Raw genomic sequence first — 26,080 nt, 5'->3', positions numbered from 1 at the left:
GGTACCAAAACAGAGATATAGACCAATGGAACAGAACAGAGCCCTCAGAAATCATATCACACATCTACTACCACCTGATCTTTGACAAATCTGACAAAAACAAGAAATGGGGAAAGGATTCCCTATTTTTAAAAAGCTGCTGGGAAAACTGGCTAGTCATATGCAGAAAGCTGAAACTGGATCCCTTCCTTACACCTTATACAAAAATTAATTCAAGATGAATTAAAGACTTCAATGTCAGACCTAAAACGATAAAAACTCTAGCAGAAAACCTAGGCAATACCATTCAGGACATAGGCATGGGCAAGGTCTTCATGTCTAAAACACCAAAAGCAATGGCAACAAAAGCCAGAATTGACAAATGGGATCTAATTATACTAAAGAGCTTCTGCACAGCAAAAGAAACTACCATCAGAGTGAATAGGCAACCTACAGAATGGGAGAAAATTTTTGCAATCTACCCATCTGACAAAGGGCTAATTTCCAGAATCTACAAAGAACTTAAACAAATTTATGAGAAAAAATCAACCCCATCAACAAGTGAGCAAAGGATATGAACAGACACTTCTCCAAAGAAGACATTTATGCAGCCAACAGACACATGAACAAATGCTCATCATCACTGGCCATCAGAGAAATGCAAATCAAAACCATAATGAGACACCATCTCACACCAGTTAGAATGGTGATCATTAAAAAGTCAGGAAACAACAGGTGCTGGAGAGGATGTGGAGGAATAGGAACACTTTTGCACTGTTGGTGGGACTGTAAACTAGTTCAACCATTGTGGAAGGCAGTGTGGCAATTCCTCAAGGATCTAGATCTAGAAATATTTGACCCAGCCATCCCACTGCTGGGTATATACCCAAAGGATTATAAATCATGCTGCTATAAAGACACATGCACACGTATGTTTATTGTGGCACTATTCACAATAGCAAAGATTTGGAACCAACCCAAATGTCCATCAATGATAGACTGGATTAAGAAAATGTGGCACATATGCACCATGGAATACTATGCAGCCATAAAAAAGGATGAGTTCATGTCCTTTGTAGGGACATGGATGAAGCTAGAAACCATCATTCTCAGCAAACTATCGTAAGAATAGAAAACCAAACACCACATGTTCTCACTCATAGGTGGGATTTGAACAATGAGAACATTTGGACACAGGATGCGGAACATCACACACCGGGGCCTGTCATGGGGTGGTGGGATGGGGGATGGATAGCATCAGGAGATATACCTAATGTAAATGATGAGTTAATGGGTGCAGCACACCAACATGGCATATGTATACATATGTAACAAACCTGCACGTTGCGCACATGAACCCTGGAACTTAAAGTATAATAATAAAAATAAATAAATAAATAAATAAGAATGTCTGGTACTTAGTAAGCTTTCAAGAAATACTAATTAAATGAAGGAGGGAATTTATTTTATTTTTTTAATCTATTCCCACAAGAATCAAGTCCGTTTGTCTCATTAATAGAGTTCCAGCTTCGAAAACTCTGCGTGGTATATCTTAAGAGCTCAATGAACTTTTGTTCAATGAATAAATGAGTCTCAATTGAAGAGAGTAATTTAGAACAATTAAAGGTATATAAAAATGGATTAGACCGCATTGTAAGATGCAATGTCCCATCACTAATGTAAAAATTATCTTTAAGGGTTGCTATGATAAAGGTTTTGCACTACATATATTGCATTATCATAAATTTTCTTAAATTATGAAAGACACTATAGGAGCCGTTTTGATTCTCTATTCCATGTTACTACTCTAGTCAACCTATCTATGGTAAAATCAAGCAAATAAAATAATCTTGAATTCTAGGTAGATACATTTTTGTTTGTATTCTTAAATAAAATCTATATCTACTAAAGAAATATATAGAGCATATTAAAAACATTACATCTTAAGAAATGAAGAAGTTGTATGTGAGAATTTCCTGCCTAGGCAGTTACTGTAGCTGTAAAATCTTAAAATATTCCTTCAATTAATGTTTTCAGTGTTTTAAGTGTATCATTTTTTCTCTCCTAACAGACAGTACATTTTTATCATGAATATATTTAACTATTTCATGGTACATTACCTAATTTTCATTTGAATTTTTGGTGAACAATTAAAATAGAGTTTTGCTGGCTGCCTGGGAGCAGGAGAGAGCCCGCCCCCATCACTCCCAGCACAGCTGGTGCTCCACCCTAAGGGGCCAGAAAATAAAACTGTAGACCTGGCTCCAACCCCGAGGGAATTCAAGCACACTGCCTAAGAGTATTGAGCTGATCTCTATTGGAGGAGGAGCCCCCACTATCAGAAAACTGACAAGAATGTGGAGTGGGTTCATGTGCTGGCATGGGAGCGGGGAATCTCTCCCTCTGAAAGACTGGTGCAGGAGGGTATGCGTGTTAGCCAGCAACAGCTTTTTACCCAGACAGCCCCATGGCTCTGAACACCTGGAAGAGCACAGCCATCTGGCAAGAGAAGTCTGTGGAAAAACGTAGCTGGCTGGGCCGGCTCCTGGGGCAGGTGCTGGAGAGACTCACTGGATTGGGGGAGAATGAGCTGGGCAAGCCCCACAGCTGTCAACTGGGCTAAAAATACCAGGCTGTTAGTGCCACACCAGTTGCACACCCATGAAACCACCGCCCTGCCTGGCGTTCCCTCACTCTTGACCTACCGCATCACCAGACCAACTGCAGACATATCCCAAAACTCACTGATTCTGCCAAGCTCAAAGGACCAGTGGAACCCTGGGGAATTATGGGTCTCCTGGTTACCTGACTTTCATCTTGAACTGTTCTTAATGGAGAGAAAAGCACAGCCTGCCAAAGCCTGCCTTGAGGCTAAGGAAACATAAGCACAGTGCCAGTAATTGAAAGGGGCTCCACCAAGGCCCAGGAACAGACTTGGTGAAGGAGTCCTCTCCTGCCCTCTGTCTCCCTTTCCCAGAGCATTGCTGCATACACACTGAAATGCAAAACAGGCACGCAGCTAAGAGCCTACCCTTACTCTTAAGTGCCATTTACTAAGTCACAGTCTAAACTACACCACCAAACAAAAATAAATTCCTTCACCTACAACACCTGTGAAAGCCCATGAAGGAAACTATCAACGTAAAAAACCCATACAGAGCCTTGGCCCTCTGAAAGCTCGAAGAAATAAAGCCAATTGACTATAAACAACATACACCACAATGAAAATCTCAAGGGAAAAAAAGAATATAAAAACAAAAGCCCTATACAAACAACAGCAATTTCAAAAAAAAAAGAAGAAGATAAAGAAAGAAACAAAGAAACACTGGCACCCTCAGATGAGAAAGAATCAGCACAAAAACGCCAACAGTTCAAAAAGCCTGAGTGATTCCTTACCTGCAAAAATTGCATTAGCTCCCTGGTGGATCCTAACCAGATTGAAATGTCTGAAATGACAGACATAAAATTCAGAATCAGGGTGACAAAGAAGATCAACAAGATTCAAGAGAATGTTGAAATCCAAACGCTGAAATCGAAAGAAAGCCAAAAAATGAATCCAGACTGGAAAGCCAATATCACCATATTAAGAAGGAACCCACTGAAATTCTGGAATTGAAAAATTCACTACAGAAATTTCAAAATATATTTGGAAGTCTTAGCAACAGAATAGACCAAGCTGAGGAAAGAATTTAAGAACTCAAAGACCAGTTCTTTGAATCAGTACAGTTAGATGAACATAAAAATAATAATTTTAAAAAATGAACAAAGCCTCCAAGAAATATGTGATTGTACAGAGAGACCAAATCTATGATTCATTGGCATTCCTGAGAGAGAAGAGGAGAGAGTAGTAGGCCACTTGGAAAACATATTTTCTAGAGAGGATAGCATGCAAATTCAAGAAATTCAGAGAATATTTGCAAGATATTATATCAGACGAACATCCCCAAGACACATAGTCATCAGACTTTTGAAGGTCAATGTGCAAGAAAAAATGTTAATTGAAGCTAAACAAAAGGGTCATATCACTTTCAAAGGGAAACATATTAGGCTAACAGTTGACACCTTGGCTTGAACCTTAAAAGCCAGAAGAGATTAGGAGTCCATTTCCAGTATCCTTAAAGAAAAAACATCCCAAACAACAATTTCATATCCTGCCAAACTAAGCTGCATAAGCAAAGGAGAAATAAAATATTTGTCAGGCATGCAAGCAATAAGAGAGTCTATTACCACTATACAAGCATTACAGTGACGCCGAAGAGAGATTTAAAGATAGAAATGAAAGAAAAATACTCACTACCACAGAAACACACTTAAGTACATAGCCCACAGACCCTAAAATGTAACTACACTATCAAGACTTCAAAGCAACCAGCTAACAACACGACAGCAGGATCAAAACCTCACATATCAATATTAAGCTTAAATGTGAATGGTCTAAACACCCTACTTAAAAGGCAGAGTGACAAGCTGGAAAGAAAACAAGACCTAACCTTTTTCTGCCTTCAAGAGAACATCTCACATGTTATGACACCAATAGGCTCAAAGTAAAGGGACAGAGAAGAACTATTATGCAAATGGATAACAAAAAAAGAGTAGGGAACACTATTCATGTATTAGATAAAACATACTTTAAACCAATGGCAATAACAAAAGACAATGAAGAGCATTACATAACGATATTAGTTTCAATTGAACAAAAAGACTGAACTATTTTATACACATATGTACCCAGTTTTGGAGGACCCAGATTCATAAACAAGTATTTCCAGACCTACAAAAAGACTTAGACAGACACAGAATAATAGGGGATATTTTGACACCCCACTAACAGTGTTAGACAGATCATCAAGGCAGAAAACTAACAAAGAAATACTGAACTTAAATTCAAAACTTGACCAATTAGACCTAATAGACATCAACAGAGTATTCCACCTAAAATCAAACAATGTATGTTCTCATCTGCACACAGTACATACTTTAAGACTGACAACAGTCTGGGCCATAAAGCAAGTCTCAACAAATTTTTTAAAAATCAAAATCCTATCAAGCATGTTCTAGAACCACAGTAGAAAAAAAACTAGAAATCAATATGAAGAGCATCTGAAAAACCATGCAATTACACAGAAACTAAATAACTTGTTTCTGAATGCCCTTTGTAAAAACAATGAAATTAAGGCAGAAATCCAAAACTTGTTGGAAATAAAAAAAAAACAAAGACACAATATACCAAAATCTCCAGAATGCATTAAAAAAAAGCTTTAAGAGGACAGGTTATAGTGCTAAATGCTTACATCAAGAAGATAGAAAGATGTCAAATTAAGAAAAGAACATCAACCTGGAAACTAGAGAAAATGACAACAAACTAGCCCCAAAGGTACCATAAGAAAATAAATAACTAAAATCCAAATAGAACTAAACGAAATTGAGACCCAAAAATTCATACAAAAGATCAACAAAAATAAAAATTGGTTCTTTGAAAGAATAAATGAGGTCTATAGAATGTTATCTAGACTCACAGAGAAAAAAAGAGAGATCCAAATATGCAAATCAGAAACAACAAAAATGACACTATAATCAATCCCATAGAAATGCAAAAGATCCTCAGAGACCATTATGAACACCTATATGCACATCAACTAGAAAATCTAGAAAAAAAATGGATAAATTCCTGGAAACACATGACCAACAAATATTGAATCAAGAAGAAATTAAAACCCTGAACAGACCAATAATGAGTTCTAAAATTGAGTCAGTGATTTAAAATACCTACCAAAGAATAAAAACCCTTTGTATATTCTGCCAGATAAACAAAGAAGAGCTGGTACAAAAGCTACTGAGACTATTCCAAAAAAACCAAAAAGGAGGGACTTATCTCTAACACATTGTACAAAGTTAGCATTGTCTTGATACCAAAATCTGACAAAGACACAATAAAAAAAGGAAACTATAGGCTAATATCCCTGATGAACATAGATACAAAAAGCCTTAATAAAATACTGCCAAGCCAAACCCAGCAGCACATAAAGCAGTTAATTCAACACAATCAAGTAGGCTTTATTCCTGGGATGCAATGTGGGTTCAACATGCACAAATCAATAAGTGTGATTTACCACATAAACAGAATTGAAAACAAAAACCATATGATAATCTCAATAGATGAAGAAAAAGCTTTCAATAAAATACAACACCACTTCATGATTAAAAAAATACTAAAGAAACTAGGCATTGAAGTAACATACTTTAAAATAATAAGAGCCATCTATGACAAACCCTTAGCCAACTTTATACTGAATGGGCAAAAGCTAGAGGCATTCCCCCTGGGATAAGACAAAGATGCCCACTCACATCACTCCTATTCAACATAGTACTGGAAGTCCTAATTAGAGCAATCAGGCAAGATAAATAAATAAAAAGCATACAAATAGAAAAAGAAGTCAAATTATCTCTCTTCACTGATGACATAATCTTATACCTAGAAAATGCTACATAATCTGCCAAAAGGTACCCAGAGCTGATAAACAACTTCAGTAAAGTTTCAGGATACAAAGTAAATATACAAAAATCTTTAACATTTCTATACGCCAATAATGTTCAAGTTGAGAGCCAAATAAAAAAAAAAAATCAAATTCACAATAGCCGCACACACAAAAAAATACCTAGAAACACATCTAACCAAGGAGGTGAAAGATCTCTACAAGGAAAACTACAAAAAACTGCTGAAAGAGATCAGTGATGACATAAACAAATGAAAAAAATACTCCATGTTCATGGATTGGAAGAATCAATGTCCTTAAAATGGCCCTACTGCCCAAAGCAATCTACAGATTCAACACTGTTCCTATAAAATTAGCGACATCATTTTTCACAGTATTAAGAAAAACTATTCTAAAATTCAGATAGAACCAAAAAAGAGTTCAAATAGCCAAATTAACCCTAAGCAAAAAGAACAAAGCAGGAGGGATTACATTACCCAAATTCAAACTACCCTACAAAGTTACAGTAACCAAAATAGCATGGTGCTGGTAAAAAAACAGACACAAAGTCCAATGGAAGAGAATAGAGAATGCAGAAAAAAGCCACACAACTACAGCCACCTAATCTCTTACAAAGTCTACAGAAATACACTATAAGGAAAGGACTCTCGATTCAATAAATGATGTTGCAATAACTGGCTAACTACATGCAGAAGAAAGAAACTAAACTCCTACTTTTCAATTCTCGTATACTTGTACATATACAAGAATTAACTCTAGGTGGATTAAAGATTTAAAAGCAGGACCTTGAACTATGAAAATCCTGTAAGAAAACTGAGGAAACACCATGTTGGACATCAGCCTTGGCAAATAATTGATGATTAAGTCCTCAAAAGCAATCACAACAAAAACAAAAATTACCAAGTGGATCTAATTAAAGTATAGAGTTTTGCACAGCAAAAGAAACTAACAGAGTATATTAGTCTGTTCTCATGTTGCTAATAAAGACATACCCAACACTGGGTAATTTATAAAGGAAAGAGGTTTAATGGATTCACAGTTCCACATGGCTAGGGAGACCTCACAATCATGGCAGAAAGCAAGAGACAGTCAAAGGCACATCTTACATGGTGGCAGGCAAGAGAGAGCTTGTTCAGGGGAACTCTCCTTTATAAAACCATGAGATCTTGTGACACTTATTCACTACCACAAGAACAGTATGGGGGAAATTGCCCCCATGATTCAATTATCTCCACCTGTCCCCCACCCTTGACACGTGGGGATTATTACAATTCAAGGTGAAATATGGGTGGGGACACAACAAAACCATATCACAGGGTAAGCAGACAATCTGCAGAATTGGAGAAAATATTCACAAATTTTGAATCTGACAAAGGTCTAATATCCAGAATCTATAAGGAACTTAAATCAACAAATAAAAAACAAGTAACATCATTAAAAGATATGAACAGACACTTCTCAAAAGAAGACATGCAAGCAGCTAACAAACATAGGAAAAAATGCTCAAAATCTCTAATCAAATAAATGCAAATCAAAACAACAATGAAATACCATCTGAGTCAGAATGGCTTTTATTAAAAGGGCCAAAAACAACTGTTGGTGAGGCTGCAGAGAAATGGGAATGCTTATACACTGTTGGTTGGGATGTAACTTAATTCAGCCACTGTAGAAAGCAGTTTAGAGATTTCTCAAAGAACTAAAAATAGAACTACCACTCAACCCAGCAGTCACATTACTCAGTATTTACCCAAAGGAAAAAAAAATTGTTCTACCAAAAAGACACAAGCACTCATATGTCCATTGCAGCACTATTCACAATAGCAAAGACATGGAATCAACGTAGGTGCTCATCAGTAGTGGATTGGATAAAGAAAATGTGGTACATATACACCATGAGACACTACACCATCATAAAAAAAGAATGAAATTGGGCCAGGCATGGTGGTTCATGCCTATAATCCCAGCACTTTGGGAGGCCAAGGCGGGCAGATCACCTGAGGTCAGGAGTTCGAGACCACCCTGGCCAACATGGTGAAAACCAGTCTCTATTAAAAATACAAAAATTAGTCAGGTGGTGGCAGGTGCCTGTAATTCCAACTACTCAGGAGGCTGAGGCAGGAGAATCACTTGAACTCAAGAGGTAGAGGTTGCAGTGAGCCGAGATTGTGCCACTTCACTCCAGCCTGGGTGACAGTGAGACTCTGTCTCAAAAAGAAAAAAAAAAAAAAGAATGAAATCATATCCTTTGCAGCAACATGGATGGAGCTGGAGGCCATTATCCTAAGTAAAAAGTAAATTAATGTAGAAACAGAAAACCAAATACCACATTTTCACTTTTAAGTGGGAGCTAAACATTGGACATACATGACCATAAACATGGCAACAGTAGACACTGGGTACTATAAAAACTGGGAGGGAAGGAGGGGTGCCAGGGTTGAGAAACTACCTATTGGATGCTCTTCTCACTACTTGGGTGACAGGTCCAATCATATCACAAACCTCAGCATTGTGCAATATATGCCTGCATCAAAACTGGACAAGTACCCCCTGAAGCCAAAATAAAGTTGAAATTTAAAAAGTAATAAAAGAAAAGACAAGAAAACTGAATCAGATGTCTTCCTTAATATCAGGCTATATTCAAATACCATGTGGGAATGGAATTTAGGCATCAAAAGCAATCAGTGAAAAAACATGATTTCCAACTACTAATTTTTATTGCAAAAATCATGTCACTCCAGCTGAGTAATTAATTTTTACTAGGAGAAATGTACAGGTTGTATGGAAGAAATTTCCTTTTTAATAAAACATAATGAATTAATACTTTCTTGAATTCCAAATGGTAAAGATTGTGTTTTATACTTTTTATAGACTCAGAAAAGAAGAATGTAAATATATTCTAATAGCCAAAATATTAAGTATTTTTTAAAAAACAGCTTTTAAAAGTTATTCTAAATCTGGAAGACCAAGAGCTTAGAAAACAGTTTTATAATTGGAGTTTTAAAGGACTATTATTAAGCAATATTACCAATAAATTGATATCTTAAAAGTAAAATATATTTAATATTTTAGTATAATTTATGCAGCTATAATAATCACACAAAAATGAATTAAAATCCTTTTATTTTCTGCTTTTCTATTATCTTTTTCTCATCATTATACTATATTACCAAATATAAATGGTGTGGTTCAAGGAAGGGAACAATTTTTCTAATATATATTAAGAGCCTGAAGTTTAAATCTAAAAATAATTTCATACACTCTACCTTTATTCCTAATAATTATCTAACCAGTCATTAGGAATAAAGCACAATGTCAATGAGATCATTTTTCATTATTTCTGTGCATCTATAAAAGAACTATTTAATAAGAATCATCTAAGAAAATTAAACAAGAAATATTTAACTTACTCCCAAGGTACATGTAATTTCTCCTCAGTTAACTTTTTCTCATGAACAAGTACTTTCTTTGTACTTTTTCAAAATAAGAAGCTGTAAAGCAAACTAGTCTCAATGGACTGGCTGAAAAAAAGTACTTGGCATATCTATACAAAAGGTTTTCAGAGAAGCAATTGGTATTGCTCTTATTTTTAAACACTGTTCTTTTTGTTGATTACAAATGTATATTAGACACTAGATAAGTGTTTAACATAATTTCCAAAATTTAATTTTCTAGATTTCACATATCAGCTCTACTCTTAAATGTTAACACAAATATTTATGATATTTTATATGCATTTTGCTATGGGTCTTGAAAGATAGCTTTTATTAATCAGAACACTTCAGGACTCCAACACTCTATTCCTGCAAAGTTCCTAACTACAATGACTACATTTGTCCCCTTCTCTGCATCACACTACCTCTTGTATCTTTTTTCTTTTTGTTCAATATCTGCTAAGAGAAAAATGCAAATCGCAGCGCACTTAGAAATAATAAAGCCTCTTATTCTAATATGATTCTTTTATAAATTGAGAAAAATGAGTCCTCAAATTGTTGTTCTGAAGAAGGATGTAGCACAATGCTCAGCACAAAATAGACGATAAGTGGTATTTAAATAGTAAAGATAGGGAACCAATCTAGTTTCCCATCAATGGTGGACTGGAGACTGGATAAAAAAAAAATGTGGTACATATACACCTTGGAATACTATGCAGCCATAAAAAAGAATGAAAACATCATGTACCTTACAGCAACATGGATTCAGCAGGAATTCATTCTTCTAAATGAATTAACCCAAGAGCAGAAAACCAAATACCACATGTTTTTACTTGTAAGCAGGAGCTAAACACTGAGTACTCAGGGACATAAAGATGGCAACAACAGACACTAGGGACTGCTTGAGCAAAGAGGAAGGGAGAGGGGCAAGGTTTGAAAAGCTACCTATGATGTACTATGCTCACCACCTGGGTGACAGATCATTCATAGCCCAAACCTCAGCATCATGCCATATGCCCATGTAACAAACCTGCAATGTAACCCCAGAATCTAAAATAAAGGTAGAACTTATTTTTTTAAAAAGAATTTTTCTGATGGCCAGTGATGATGAGCATTTTTTCATGTGTTTTTTGGCTGCATAAATGTCTTCTTTTGAGAAGTGTCTGTTCATGTCCTTCGCCCACTTTTTGATGGGGTTGTTTGTTTTTTTCTTGTAAATTTGTTTGAGTTCATTGTAGATTCTGGATATTAGCCCTTTGTCAGATGAGTAGGTTGCGAAAATTTTCTCCCATGTTGTAGGTTGCCTGTTCACTCTGATGGTAGTTTCTTTTGCTGTGCAGAAGCTCTTTAGTTTAATTAGATCCCATTTGTCAATTTTGGCTTTTGTTGCCATTGCTTTTGGTGTTTTGGACATGAAGTCCTTGCCCACGCCTATGTCCTGAATGGTAATGCCTAGGTTTTCTTCTAGGGTTTTTATGGTTTTAGGTTTAACGTTTAAATCTTTAATCCACCTTGAATTGATTTTTGTATAAGGTGTAAGGAAGGGATCCAGTTTCAGCTTTCTACATATGGCTAGCCAGTTTTCCCAGCACCATTTATTAAATAGGGAATCCTTTCCCCATTGCTTGTTTTTCTCAGGTTTGTCAAAGATCAGATAGTTGTAGGTATGCGGTGTTATTTCTGAGGGCTCTGTTCTGTTCCATTGATCTATATCTCTGTTTTGGTACCAGTACCATGCTGTTTTGGTTACTGTAGCCTTGTAGTATAGTTTGAAGTCAGGTAGTGTGATGCCTCCAGCTTTGTTCTTTTGGCTTAGGATTGACTTGGCGATGCGGGCTCTTTTTTGGTTCCATATGAACTTTAAAGTAGTTTTTTCCAATTCTGTGAAGAAAGTCATTGGTAGCTTGATGGGGATGGCACTGAATCTGTAAATTACCTTCGGCAGTATGGCCATTTTCACGATATTGATTCTTCCTACCCATGAGCATGGAATGTTCTTCCATTTGTTTGTATCCTCTTTTATTTCCTTGAGCAGTGGTTTGTAGTTCTCCTTGAAGAGGTCCTTCACATCCCTTGTAAGTTGGATTCCTAGGTATTTTATTCTCTTTGAAGCAATTGTGAATGGGATTTCACTCATGATTTGGCTCTCTGTTTGTCTGTTGTTGGTGTATAAGAATGCTTGTGATTTTTGTACATTGATTTTGTGCAAATCAAAACCACTATGAGATATCATCTCACACCAGTTAGAATGGCAATCATTAAAAAGTCAGGAAACAACAGGTGCTGGAGAGGATGTGGAGAAATAGGAACACTTTGACACTGTTGGTGGGACTGTAAACTAGTTCAACCATTGTGGAAGTCAGTGTGGCGATTCCTCAGGGATCTAGAACTAGAAATACCATTTGACCCAGCCATCCCATTACTGGGTATATACCCAAATGACTATAAATCATGCTGCTATAAAGACACATGCACACGTATGTTTATTGCGGCATTATTCACAATAGCAAAGACTTGGAACCAACCCAAATGTCCAACAATGATAGACTGGATTAAGAAAATGTGGCACATATACACCATGGAATACTATGCAGCCATAAAAAATGATGATTTCATGTCCTTTGTAGGGACATGGATGAAATTGGAAATCATCATTCTCAGTAAACTATCGCAAGAACAAAAAACCAAACACCGCATATTCTCACTCATAGGTGGGAATTGAACAATGAGATCACATGGACACATGAAGGGGAATATCACACTCTGGGGACTGTGGTGGGGTGGGGGGAGGGGGGAGGGATAGCATTGGGAGATATACCTAAGGCTAGATGACGAGTTAGTGGGTGCAGCGCACCAGCATGGCCCATGTATACATATGTAACTAACCTGCACAATGTGCACATGTACCCTAAAACTTAAAGTATAATAAAAAAAAAAAGAATTTTTATAAACATTTCTATAATCACTAAAGTGAATTTTTGAATTCCCTATTAAGTTAGGGTTTTTAGTTTTAGAGAAAGCTACCAAGTTTAAATTTTTATATTATAAAATCAAATTATTTCAGCACAAATGTGTGTGTCATAGCCAGTAAAAATGAAGAGGGAACCTCAGTTTTTCTCATATTGTATAAGTTGACACAGTTACAAAAAAATAAGAACCATGATTCACAAGTAGTTTCGTAAAAATAAAATAACTCAAAATGAATAAATAGATTTTGATAAAACCTATCTTTATCAATTATCAGTGATATTTCATATTGGGTAAAGTTTGAATAAATTCATACTTTTCATTTTTTCTACATACATCTTATACTATCTCACAGTTTAAATATAAGATATCCATTACATTCGGAAAACACAAAGAATTCTCCCAATGTTGGGGAGCTTACTTTTTATATATACTTATAAATTAAATAGTATTGAAAAGAAAGACTTTAGGGTATCCATTGTAGGTCAGGATGGGAGATGGAAAAGATTAGAGTAGAATTCTGGGTAAAAGAATTTACAGATGCTCACAGGTTGATGATAACACAGCAAAGTAAACAGGCAATTAAAACAGATGACTGTAATTGCTAACAGAGGTAAACACAGAATATTAACTGTCAGTCCACACATCTTTGAAGGAAACAACCCCAATAAAGACGGTAGGATGAGGATGAGGAAGGAGAGGACATTGTAGATAAAGGAAAAAACACTGGCAAATGTATGAGGTGTGAAGAGTAGTGTTTTAATTGATGAACTGCAAGATGTTTGGTGTAGCTGCTGTGAGAAGTTGATGTGAGATAGAGGTAGGTGACTGGACTGGAAGGTTCAGGGACATCAGATGAGGAATTTTGGATGACAAAACATTTGGATTTGATATGCAAGAAAATAAGGATTTGGAAACTAAAATTTTTTACTGTGACCAGTATAACACCACATACTTTTGTACGTCAATAAATACAGGTGATAAGAATAAAATTTTCATGTCTGGCAACATAATGTATGTATGTCATTACCCCAGCAGTTAAGTCATTCAATTATTTGCATATATGATTCAGGTTTATACAAATATACTCATGATTCACAGGACCATCAAATATAGATTAGTTAGAAGATATTTTTAAAAAATAAACTTATAGCGAAGTTGTGAAAATAATACAACCAACTCCCTTCATGCTGCACCCAGGTTCCCTACTTGTGAATATCTTAGCCATGTATGTTTAACATTTTTCCTTTCCTTCCCTCTCTCTCACCCAACTTTTCTTCTTCTGTCTCTCTGCTTTTTCTTTTGTGTATATGTCTTCATGTGTGTGCATGTGTAGGTGTCTGTGCATCTAATATTTCTTAATGAATCAGTTGAATGTAAGTTGCAGATAAGTTCGTACCACCCCTAAAAATTTGTGTGAATTTCCTAAGTTAAAAGGATACTCTGCCATACTGCAATAAATCATCTAAATCAGCAAATGAACATCAAAAACAATTCCACCATCTAGAATACCATTTATCACATTGACTCCATTCAAATTTTAACAATTATTCCAATAATTCCCTTTGTGGACAGTTTTTTCTTCTGGTCTAGGATCCACTTTTTTGGTCATGTCTTTTTAGCCTTTTTCAACTGTAAGCAGTTCCTAAATCTTACCTTTCCTTTGTGACTGTAATACTTCTTTAAGAGCATGGCCAGTTAGTTTACAGAATGCCCTTCAGTTTAGATTTATCTAATATTTCTTTACAATTAGTTTTAGATTCTGTACTTCATCACAGATATTAAAAATATGTTGACTTGTCCAATTACTAGTGATATTTCATTAAGATTATGGCTTCAACCATCACTGCAAAGTTACTGTTTTTTCTTTTGTAGTCAGTAAGTGGGGGGAAAATTAAGTAAGAATAGTTTTTTTTTTTTTCTTTGAGACAGAGTCTCTCTCTGTCGCCAGGCTGGAGTGGAGTGGTGCAATCTCAGCTCAGTGCAAGCTCTGCCTCCTGGGTTCACGCGATTCTCCTGCCTCAGCCTCCCGAGTAGCTGGGACTACAAGCATGCGCCACCACATCCAGCTAATTTTTGTATTTTTAGTAGAGATGGGGTTTCACCATGTTGGCCAGGATGGTCTCAATCTCTTGACCTTGTGGTCTGTCTGCCCCGGCCTCCCAAAGTGCTGGGATTACAGGCGTGAGCCACCGCGCCTGGCCAGGAGGAGTATTTTAAGACTGAAAATATTCCTTTCTCAACAAATTTTCAGTGTCTAATTTTAACATTCATTGAAGATTGTTGTCTGCATCAATTATTGTTGTGATGACTGCTAAATGGTGATTTTCTTGTTTCTACATTTATTAGTTGAAACTTTACTATAAGGAATAATTTTCCAATCTCCCCATTTATTTGCCTAATATTTGTCTCTTTGTATCAGTAGGAACTCAAGAATTCCTATTTTATTCAGTATGTTAGAATCTGTTTAATTTGTTATTGCCAGTATTTAACTTGATGCTCAAATTATCCCAGATTATCTGAAGATTATTTTGTTTTTTTGTTTGTTTTTGTTTTTTTTTTGTAGACAGGGTCTTGCTGTGTTGCCCTGACTGGAGTGAAATGTTGCAGGAGTGCAGTGGTGTGAGTGGCATGATCAAAGCTCACTGTAACCTAGAATCCTGGGCTCAAGTGATCCTTTCACCTCAGCCTCCCAAGTAGCTAGGACTACAGGCATGGGCCACTACACCCCAATAATCTTTTTAAATTTCTTTTGTAGAGACAGCATCTGGCTATGCTACCCAGGCTGGTCTCTAACTCCTGGCCTCAAGGGATCCTCCTAACTCTGGGTGAAGATTCTGAAAGCTGGATTCCAAGTTTAATTTTTTGAGCACTACTCTTTTTTTGAGACAGAATCTTGCTCTGTCACCCAGGCTGGAGTGCAGTGGCACGATCTCGGCTCACTGCAAACTCTGCCTCCCGGGTTCAAGCAATTCTTCTGCCCCAGCCTCCAGAGTAGCTGGGATTATAGGCATGCGCCACCTTGCCTGGCTAATTTTTGTATTTTTAGTAGAGACGGGGTTTCACTATGTTGGTCAGGCTGGTCTTGAACTCCTGACCTCATGATCCGCCTGCCTCGGCCTCCCAAAGGGCTGAGATTACAGGAGTGAGCCAGCATGCCCGGCAAGCACTACTTTATAAAACAAAATACTTCAGGCTTATCTTAAACTTTCATTGCCCCATCCCTGTAACCAGAAATTATTCCAAGAGCCCTGTTGTTTTTTAGTAAATAATGGTCTTTAAAATTTGGGTGCTTGGTGGAATCACTGTTTCTGGGATGATATTGCTTCTTGTCCCTCTCAAAAGACATGGTTAGGAAATATATGTGTTATGAGCACCCACACATACACATTATCTCATCTATCTACCTATCATCTATCAAAAATCAAAAGTTTATACCAATGCCTCTAAGTCCAGTTCAATACCAGAGGCGTCAATCTACCTTCACTACTTCCATATTTTAAAATTTCTTCTCTAACAGGGAGTAATCAGATGCCCATTATGGTAAATATATTTACTCATTCGCTGACTTCCTATGTGATCAATATCTGACTTCATGAACCGCTTCCTCACCCGAATGACTCCTCTGTCCCACAGACAATCTTAGCACTTTCTGACACCTGAATTCTTCTGTTCCTGCCTCGCCAGACCCTACTTCAAAGGAATGAAAGAAAAAGGAAAGAAAACAAGAAAAAGCAAAAGAAAGTAAAGGAAAGGGAAGAGGAGGGGGTAGGAAGAGAAGGGAAGGGAAGAAAAGAGAAGAGAAGGGAACCAATGAATATTATTTAAAGAAGAGAAGGTGAGAATAAAAGACAAGGAAAAGAACACACTAAAACAAAGTCTTAGTTGGAAAACAACGTTCAAGACTCTTCAGTCTTTTAAATACTAAGCAAAAATGTGTCATTTAGCTTCCCTATGCTAATGAATTTGTTTCAAACATAAATAAAGCCCTGACAAAATCAAGTAGCAAGGATTATATCCCCAAGAAGTCAGATCTACAGTCTGTTAGGAAGAAAAATTATTGTGGTAAATATTTCATATTGCTTGTTGACGTTATGAAAATGCAGAGTAAGGAATCATAAGTCTCTAAGAGGTCATATATTTTAAGATCAAGGATAGGTTTTTTATTCCTCTCTTACATTTGAAATTGTTTCTTCTAAACTGAAAGTTATGTTTCAGCTTAAATGTTACTACTTTTATAAAACTTTTCTAATACTTCATAAATGTTTAGATGCTGTTTTAAAATAAGCATCCAAATCTAGTAGTTAACCCAAGGGAAGACAGACTGTAATTGCTTACATATGTCTGCTTCACTTGACTGTGAACTCCTTGAAGGGAGGGATGTTCATCTCATTCATTTTTGTATTGCAACCAGCAGAGAGCTTGGAAAATAAAACATGCTTGGTAATTGTACCTGCAGAATTAACGAATACATTCTTCAGATCTCATTTTAATTGCAGGGCAATTGTGAAATAAATCTGGGGTCCAGAGAGAGTTTTCCAATGCTGTGATATTAGCACTTGCATATCCCAGTGTCGATTTCCTAATTTAGATGCAGTGCTGCATTTTTTCATGTGTTTACGTTAATGCCCTCTGTGACCTTTTGTACACCTTCACAGTCCTTATTCATCTTATACTTGTATGGGTTTTTATTGCTTTCCTAAATTAATTAACTCTGCACTAGTCACCCTTGAACTCTATCTTATTTATAGTCACCAAGGTCATCTGAACTATGAAAAACTCATTTCTTTAATAGAACAACAAGCCAATTTAAACTTCTGTCATTTTCAAAAATGATGAATATATTCTTTATTCATTTTCCATGTCTATGTGTAAGATATCAGAGTGCACTGGGCCTTCAATTTGAGAGGAATCTGGAGTTGTTTTGTTATTCTAAATCTAGCTATGCTGTCTGAAAACCTCAGGTAACTTTTATCTTTTCTAATCTTTAAAACAATATATAATCTAGATATTATCATCTTCATTTTGAAGTTAAGGTGTATAAGCTCAGAGATTTTCGATGATTCATCCAAAATCATACAGCCAGCAAGCAGTAGAATGGCTACTCTACCTCTGTGTATCAAACTCCGTGTCACGTGCCTTTCACTATTTCACCCCATTGTTCTCCCCAGCTTTTTACTTTGAAATAGATCAGAAAAGTTGAAAGACTAGTCCAATGAGTATTGATAGATTCTTCATCTAGATTCACCAGTTGATACTGTTTGCTTTATCTGTTTCTCTGCATCTGTTTCTTTTTATAATGCAAGATCTATCTATCTATCTATCTACCTATCTAGATCAACAGATTGATGAATAGATTAATATATATAAATATGTATACACATAGATTTTTTCTTTTAATGAACTATCTGAAATTAGTTTTACACATTTGACACTTCACAATTAAATAATGCAGTATGTGTCTCCTGATCACAAAGGTATTATATACTGCTTGTACACACATCACCCATGTAGCAGTCTTGCTACAAATGTTTAGCCTGATTGAAGCAATGAGGAAACTATCAGATACAACCAGGTCAGTGTGTGTTCTATACAACAACAGTGTGGAATCTTGCAAAATATTAACATCATAGAATCAAAAAAAAAAAAAAAGAGGGGAGAACTGTTCTAGATTAAAGGAGACAAAATTACCTGAAAACTAAAGACAGTACATCACCCTTAATTTGATCCTATATTGAAGGAATAAAATAAAATAAAACCATCTATGAATGACATTTTCAGAACAGTTGGGAAAATGTAAATATGGGTAGCATATTAGATATCAGTCATCTATTATTTACACAATTGTTTTTTAGAACAAAAATAATAAGTGTCTCTGGAACACTGTTTTCTCTAAAATCTGTGTATACATATTGAGATCCACAGAATTATATTTTTAAGTTTTCTCTAATATACATGCAAACATATACAGATCCACATGAATTATATGTTTTTATTATTTTTATAAATATAGTATGTGAACTCCTATAGCTGTTTTTACTAGGTATCAAAGTTTTAGATGTAGTAATGGGAAAAAATACATATACAAATATTTTAACCTAAATAATATATTTAATTAAAAATAAGTGAAAGTAATTCAAAATTTGTCTTATGTACAGATCTTGAACTCGTTATTATTAACATTGCATTTTATGTAAGATAATTGGTTATTTCCTTCCTGATAGTGGAACAGTTGGTAATTACTTCTCTCACTATATGTAACACTTTTTTAAAAAAAATCAGATACTTAGTCATAAACCACACAAGCCCTTAAAAGGAGCTGAGACATATGAGTTAATTGAGATCATCAAATATATCAAATATATTTTGTGGCTAGTATGCCATATATGTAACTTTTCATTACATAAAATATTTTACTATATAAAGAAGAAAGGCTATATAAGAGAGGAAAAGATTACCATGAGGATGAAGAAGGAGAGAAACTACAAAGTATAGTGGTGAATAAAACAGATCACTATCACATATACTTAGAACTGAGAAGGACCTGGTCAGGTAAAAAACAATTTCCTTCATTATCCAGACACACAGAGAATACAATACATTTAGGTGTAAGTTGGAGAGTTTATAAATTCAAATTGAAAGATAATGTAAATGTTGGTTATTACACTTAAAAATAGTCAATTGAAATAAGCTATACTTTGCTCCTGAAACATTAATTAATGTTTTTAAAATAATATATAAAAATAAGTCATTTAGAGTTTACTTTTTTAAATACTTTTTCTCCAAATCTGCTGACATAGGGTCTGATAATTATTTTAATTGATTGAAATTGAATTTAAATATAATGGACACAGCTACAGTACCCCTTACTGCAGACATTCCCTTTATATTAGAGCTTGTTTTTCTTAAATAATACATATTTAAAATTGTATATTAAAATGTATACCTAAGAAGAGACAGAGCTCTATTTATGTGATCCACAGCCTTTAATACAGTAATTCATAACATATTTCTTCAACCAATTTGGAGACATGTTGAAAAAAGGACAACATATACAGAAGAAATTCACTTCTTAGAGAAAACTTTATGTCCAGAACTTGAAAATTCCTAATCAATACAGGGCCTGGGTACATTTTGCCACCTGGATGGAATGAAACAAAATCATTTATTTTCTCAAGGTAAACACCAGCATATTACTGTGCTGATAGAAATAATTTCTATTTTTACAGAATAGAATAATTTATTGGCTCAGTTAATAGTGTTGCTAAATTTGTTTCCAACACTGTAGTTATCTCTGTCTTTTTCCCACTCTTCGTGTCCAAGAGTCCTTTGGTAATGGCTGTGTTTCATTTCAAATTCTTTAACTCGTCTCTCTCTATAGACATTCTTATTTTGGTCCCATGGCTTAGTTTAAGTTTCCATTATATCTTACATATTATTGCATTAAATTTTTCTTATTTCTTTGCTCCCAGTCTCTATCTTATGCCATCTAACTTATGCCAAATCCTATTTCATAGTTAAATATCTAAATTTCAGATCTTACCTTGTTACTTTCTGTCAGAATTAGCTATCTAGCTCTTTCCCCAACTTCTTTCTAACACAACCCTGATTTTGTTCAGGTATCAGGTGGTAGCCTCATGTTGGGGGGATTCTAGGAATCATGATTCATTTCTGAGTGGGTTTATGGAAGGATTTCGGTCATTGAAACATATATTTTCTTATTTATTTACTTATTATTTTTAAGTTTTGGGATACAGGTGCCAGTATCCTCAGCAAACTAACACAGACAGAAGTTTTTTACTGGGTAAAATTTCTAGGCAAAGCTCTTAATAAAAAACACAGGAAAAAAGCTTTGATCCTTCCTTTGGGTACTGTTTGAAAATGTGATGCTTGAAATTCGGCCATCTAGAAATTATAAGGAGAAACAAATGCAGAGAAATAGAGTTAAAGCCATGCTTTCACTGAGTGATTGAATTCACCATCCCTGAATCCACCTTATATCGCTATACCTTCTTGTTACGTGAGATAATGGATGTCCTAATTTTTCTTTCAGTTAGGTCTTCTGTTAGTTGATGCATAAATAAATTACACTATTCAGATTTCCCAATGTTGTCCCTAGTTACCCACCTGAGAAAATTCACAATATTTGGCGTAGAATGTAAGTCATCTTGAATGATCAGCCTTGCTCTAGTCTAACTGTATTTTCACGTGACCACTTTCCCCTTAGCCTGCTGTCACAGAGAACATTCATAAACTCAGAGTCACAGGCCCTTTCACTTCTATGTGTCTTCTGTATTGTAACCTGAGTGAACCATGCCTGCCAACTCACTTTCCTCACTCCGAGCTCTTTGGCCAACCCATATTCTCTGATTTTGCCGTTAGGATTAGGAACAATCATAATTTCCTGATTTTGTTTTGTTTTGTATTAATTTCCAAAACAAACTATGTATGTATAATCTTAGCAATTACATCATGCATACACCTGTTGTGTTCTCCAATCAGACCACTAGATTATAAATTCTTTTTGTTTAATGGGGGTCGTTTTAGTTGAGAGGGAAGAAAATTCAAGAAGTGACTGATAAAATGAGGGGTTTACACCTATCTGTCTTTGAAAACTGTGCAAATTATTTCCTTTTAAAGTTGAAGAAGAGAATGAAATTTAATGTAATAACCACTTGGAATGAGGGAAGCTGTAATGATTATAAAAGGAGGGTGTAATGGGTTTAGTTTGTTTGTTTTGTCTTTGCTGACACTGCAGAGAGAGGAGTTAGAGGCAGAAACTGAAGGAAAAGATTAGAAAAGAACACGTGGGCCTGGGTAGAAGCAGATTTAAGTGGAAAGTAACAATGAGAGTGTGAAATTCCTGCAGCAGACTCCTGATAACAGACATGGCATGGCTGACATCCACAGTGGCATGTGGGGGAGCAGCAGCAGGACTAACAGGATAAGATTCATGGTTGAACACTTTAGACTCCCCTGAGCATGCCAGAAATACATTATAGGGGACTTTTGAAAAGGACTGAGATCTGGGAGTGTCCCAGTGCAATGGAAATTTGAGCATGTATGCTAATGTGACCTTATTTGTCCCCAGAAGCAATAGCATTTTTGCCATTTGAGATGCATCCATATTCCAACTCATCTATAACAGTGCCTTACACCCAGTAGGCATGCAATAACTATTTGCTAGATTGAACCAAATAAATGTGCCTAATTCTTCGATTAGTCATGACCAGTCAGTACATTCTTGGTTATCCTTCCAGGAGGTAGAAACATTCTGAGTTGGAAAATATTGTATTAACTATAAAGCAATTTTGCAAAATAAATATAACTGTATAATACTTAATAAAGGAATTGAGGACATTTCTCTTGTATTTTTTATTTTTTCAGGAGCAACAAGCATAAAAGGTAGTAAAAATAGTGAGGGCACTCAAAATCTCCAATTCATAGAGTTTTTAAAAAATTACCATACTGCAAATGCAAATTTGTGCCTGCAACACTTTGCTGTCAAAATAAATTGATCTCTGTGTGAATGATAATACTTAAGCTTGTGGCCTTTCTGAGGAAATGCACCTGCAGCAGAATGACAAACGAGGGGAGGTGATTATTTGGCACATGGTCTCTACGGTTACAGGAACCTGTTTTGAAGTAGAAGTACAATCTCCTGAATAGTAGAACTGATTATATTTTTCAGGATCTCTCAATTTTTTTCACATATTTCCTGGACTTATTTTATCCATATAGTGCCCTTGGTAATTTCTGAATCATAGGCATTCAGAATTCCACCACTATCACAGGGATTTGTGGAGTATTTACAGATTCAAATTCTAAAGCACAGAGCTCTTTGGCCAACCATATTTCTCTGATTGTACTTTGTATGCGATGATACATAGTTCTGTTTGTTGCTGTCCAGGGATGATGATAGAAACAGGGACTGAGTCAAATACAAAGAGCTGTTTCCCAACAGAAAATAAATTGTCTTTGTCATAAGGCATTTTCTTAGACATTGTTGCTTTTGTGGTTCTACTTGCCTCCTGGGTGGAAAAAAAAAATCCTGAAAAACCAATCCTGTCCACTTCAAGTTTCTGCATCCAGGCCCTGTATCTTCAATCCCAGGTTTATTTTTTTCTTTATTTTAATATAGATTTTTGTTGAGTGCTTGCTGTTAAGTACATAGTGTTACATAGTAAACAACAAATGTAGCATATCTGATCATCCCAAACTTGTGACAGAATAGTTGCTCTTACCTCAATTGACTAAGCTTTTCTTCAATAAAATTCACATGAAAATGTCTATTCTCATCTACTCTATTCTTTAACAGAATATGTAAAACATCTTTAAATAATTTATATGCTGCCATTCTAAACTATTACTATCTTGTAACAAATCAAATCACATGAATTTTATCTAATTTATAGACCATATAACTTCATTCTTGCAACATTCTCTGACTTCTATGATTATTTATTTTATGATAAATAAGCTGCAGAAATATTTTTTCTAATTTAATGTGAACACTGACACATATTTGGAAATTCTTATCATTAGAGAATCATAAAAATCCATATATTATGAGCCTGTATTACACACATACATAGACAAATGGAGAGACAGAAGAAAGCATAAAAGTTTCTGAAAGGTGGACAGTCATTAAGTTTGCCTTGTTTGTTGAGGTTATGGTTGTGTTTCCTCTTCTAAATTTACTAATTTTCTTGTGTAAGTAAAATAGAAAATTGAAAAGTAGCCTCCTACTCATCAGGGAGTTAACAGAGGCATCTTTAGTTGTTAAATCTTATGCATTTCCTAAACTTATGAATGATAAATTGACATTACTTTTATTATTAGAAAATGACAGCCTTAAAACTTTATATACAAAAAATTTATCTTAGATAGAAATATATACATAAGTCTCATACTAACTTATCTATAACTTTTTTCCCCTGTGAGTAATAACAATGAGTGTAAATCAAGAGTCCGTATATTGGAATATACATTCAGTATATTTGCTACATAAAATTTCCATGAAAGCAAATTTTTTTAAATGGAGATGTATATTTAATATATTCTTGGATTAAACCCAGTCTTTCACTAGGCCTGTAGTGATTTATTAAACCTGTGAAATTGAAATAAGTTTTTTAAAAAACTAATTCTTGTGCCTGTGTTAAATACACTTTTTTTGGTTTATGTTGGTAGTTTTAAAATTTTACAATTATGTACAATAATTCTCATTTTTTTCGGTGTTAAAGTTGAAAATGTATACCCTTTTTCTACTTCATATCTATTTTCAAGAAATAAAATAGGCCTATTTTGGATGAATCTCCTGGGCTATGTTAAATCATGCATCTTTGTGATACAACAGATGGATATCTGAAATTTTTGTGTGTGGTATTTCAAACAAAATCCATGTGTTTTGTAAAGGCATTAGGGAATTTAGATAGGTAAGAAATATCTTCTAAAGCACAAAACATCCTCTTGTAAAGCAAACACATCTTAATTAATCTGCCTTATAAACATGAATGTTCATATACTGCCAATTTTTAATGCAGACTAGACATGGATCTCTAATGAGGGATAAATTTTACTATTCACTGTGGGAATTCTTGATATGTAATGTTTATAAAAATCTTCCATACTACTAAAAATAAAATTGCCATGCAATGTTTTTAGTAGCAATTATATTAGATTTTACTGTTAAGTGAGCTTCTCTATATTAATCAGTTTTAATGAGAATTTATTCCCCATATATACATTATCACACAACATGTGTCATGCTAATTGTATACAAGTAGTAATTATTTCATAAATCCTGATGTAATTCATTTTTTAAAATATACCTAAATATATATACAAATTTGATATACTGATTGAAGTAGAAGCAAGTTTTAATCCCATGTAATAGTTTTAAAGTATAAAAGAAATAAAATCATAAATTTATTTCTATGTATATTTTCAATCCTTATAGGACTTACATCCAAGAAGTTAAAAGGTATGTTAATCTTGCTTTCACTTACACAAGTAACATGTAGGGAAAGAAAGTTCAAAAGAAGCTGCTCTCTTGTTTAAGAGAAGTCAGTGAAAAAAATTAAAGTAGATCAAGCTTCAATATCATAAAATTTAAATTCATCTAGGAAAAAGACTTTGACTCTCTCAGCTCATGATGCTAACACTTCCAAACTCTGATTACTAAGACTTAATAAAACAACCATAAAAATCTTTGTTGATTTATTCATTCATCCTTTCACACACATTTAATGAGTGTCTGCTTCTATAGCAAACATTGTTCTAGGCACTGGAATATAAAAATGAATAAGACATGGTTCCATATTCAAAGAGTTTATCAAATTATGAAAAGATAATAAACTAAAACAGGTACATTCATATATCGTAGTAGGTACCACAATTGAGACAACAGTATAGAGGAGTTGGGAACACAGAGAAGCAGCAGCTAAGTCAGTCTGAATGGGATGAGGGAGATGGGGAAGCTTGAATCAAGTCCTGTCTTCCTCAGAGTTAGCTAGATGGAAACTGTTCATGAGGATAAATACACTACACTTTGGGAAAAAAATAATATGTAAAGGCATTAGGTATGAGAAATTATATATTCAGGTTTGTAGAGAGTCTCAACCAAAGATGTGCATCGGTTTTTCAAATCAGATGTAGTTTTTAATATAATGCAGAATTTCTCTTGTTTTATTTACACTATGTTTGGTTGCACAGATGTAACTCTCTTCTAAAGAGAACTAATGACAATATTTGAAATTTTTATGACAGTAATATTCTTGTATAGTTTACCAATATTTAGAAAAGAAAAAATAATTAACAATTAGTATATAGGTTATGCATCAGGGAAAAATACATTAATTTTATTTTAATACAAGTTTTATACTTTAGTCACATAGTCCAGCAATAAAATCCACAGGGGTCATAAAAAACATACAATCATATAAGGCAATTCTATCACTGAACTTAATTTGTGCTAGTGTGTCCTGCTCACAGTGGATATGAGCTCTTAATAATGACATATAATTAGATAAACAAAAGAATGGATGGCAGAAAATACTGATAGAATGCCAGCAGACTAGTACTAGGTTTAATTAAATTAGGATGACACTATATCATTGTTAGCTCCAAAACACCAACTTCAATTTCATAAATATATAAATCTGTCTCAGTTACATACAGAAAAAAATTATTCTTTTTCTTGTAAATTGT

General features: G+C 34.8%; 1 protein-coding gene across 11 annotated transcripts in view; it reads right to left on the bottom strand.

Annotated features, from left to right (window-relative positions):
* CCSER1 (coiled-coil serine rich protein 1) overlaps positions 1–26,080 on the bottom strand; it is a 1,477,902-nt gene that overhangs the window by 455,441 nt on the left and 996,381 nt on the right. Inside the window, exon 12 of one of the 11 annotated variants that reach the window (XM_017008195.2) lies at positions 19,855–20,012. The exons of the other annotated variants lie outside the window; for them this stretch is intronic. Within the exon in view, the coding sequence (XP_016863684.1) occupies positions 19,983–20,012 (30 nt within the window). The 3' untranslated portion in view covers positions 19,855–19,982. Of the gene's footprint in view, positions 1–19,854; positions 20,013–26,080 lie in introns of those variants that run through there. 11 annotated transcript variants of the gene reach the window in all.

The sequence above is a fragment of the Homo sapiens genome, chromosome 4 (genome assembly GCF_000001405.40).
Source record: "Homo sapiens chromosome 4, GRCh38.p14 Primary Assembly".
NCBI classification, from domain to species: domain Eukaryota; kingdom Metazoa; phylum Chordata; class Mammalia; order Primates; family Hominidae; genus Homo; species Homo sapiens.
The sequence above is the reverse complement of the archived record's forward strand: the minus strand, read 5'-3'. Positions and strand labels throughout refer to the sequence as shown.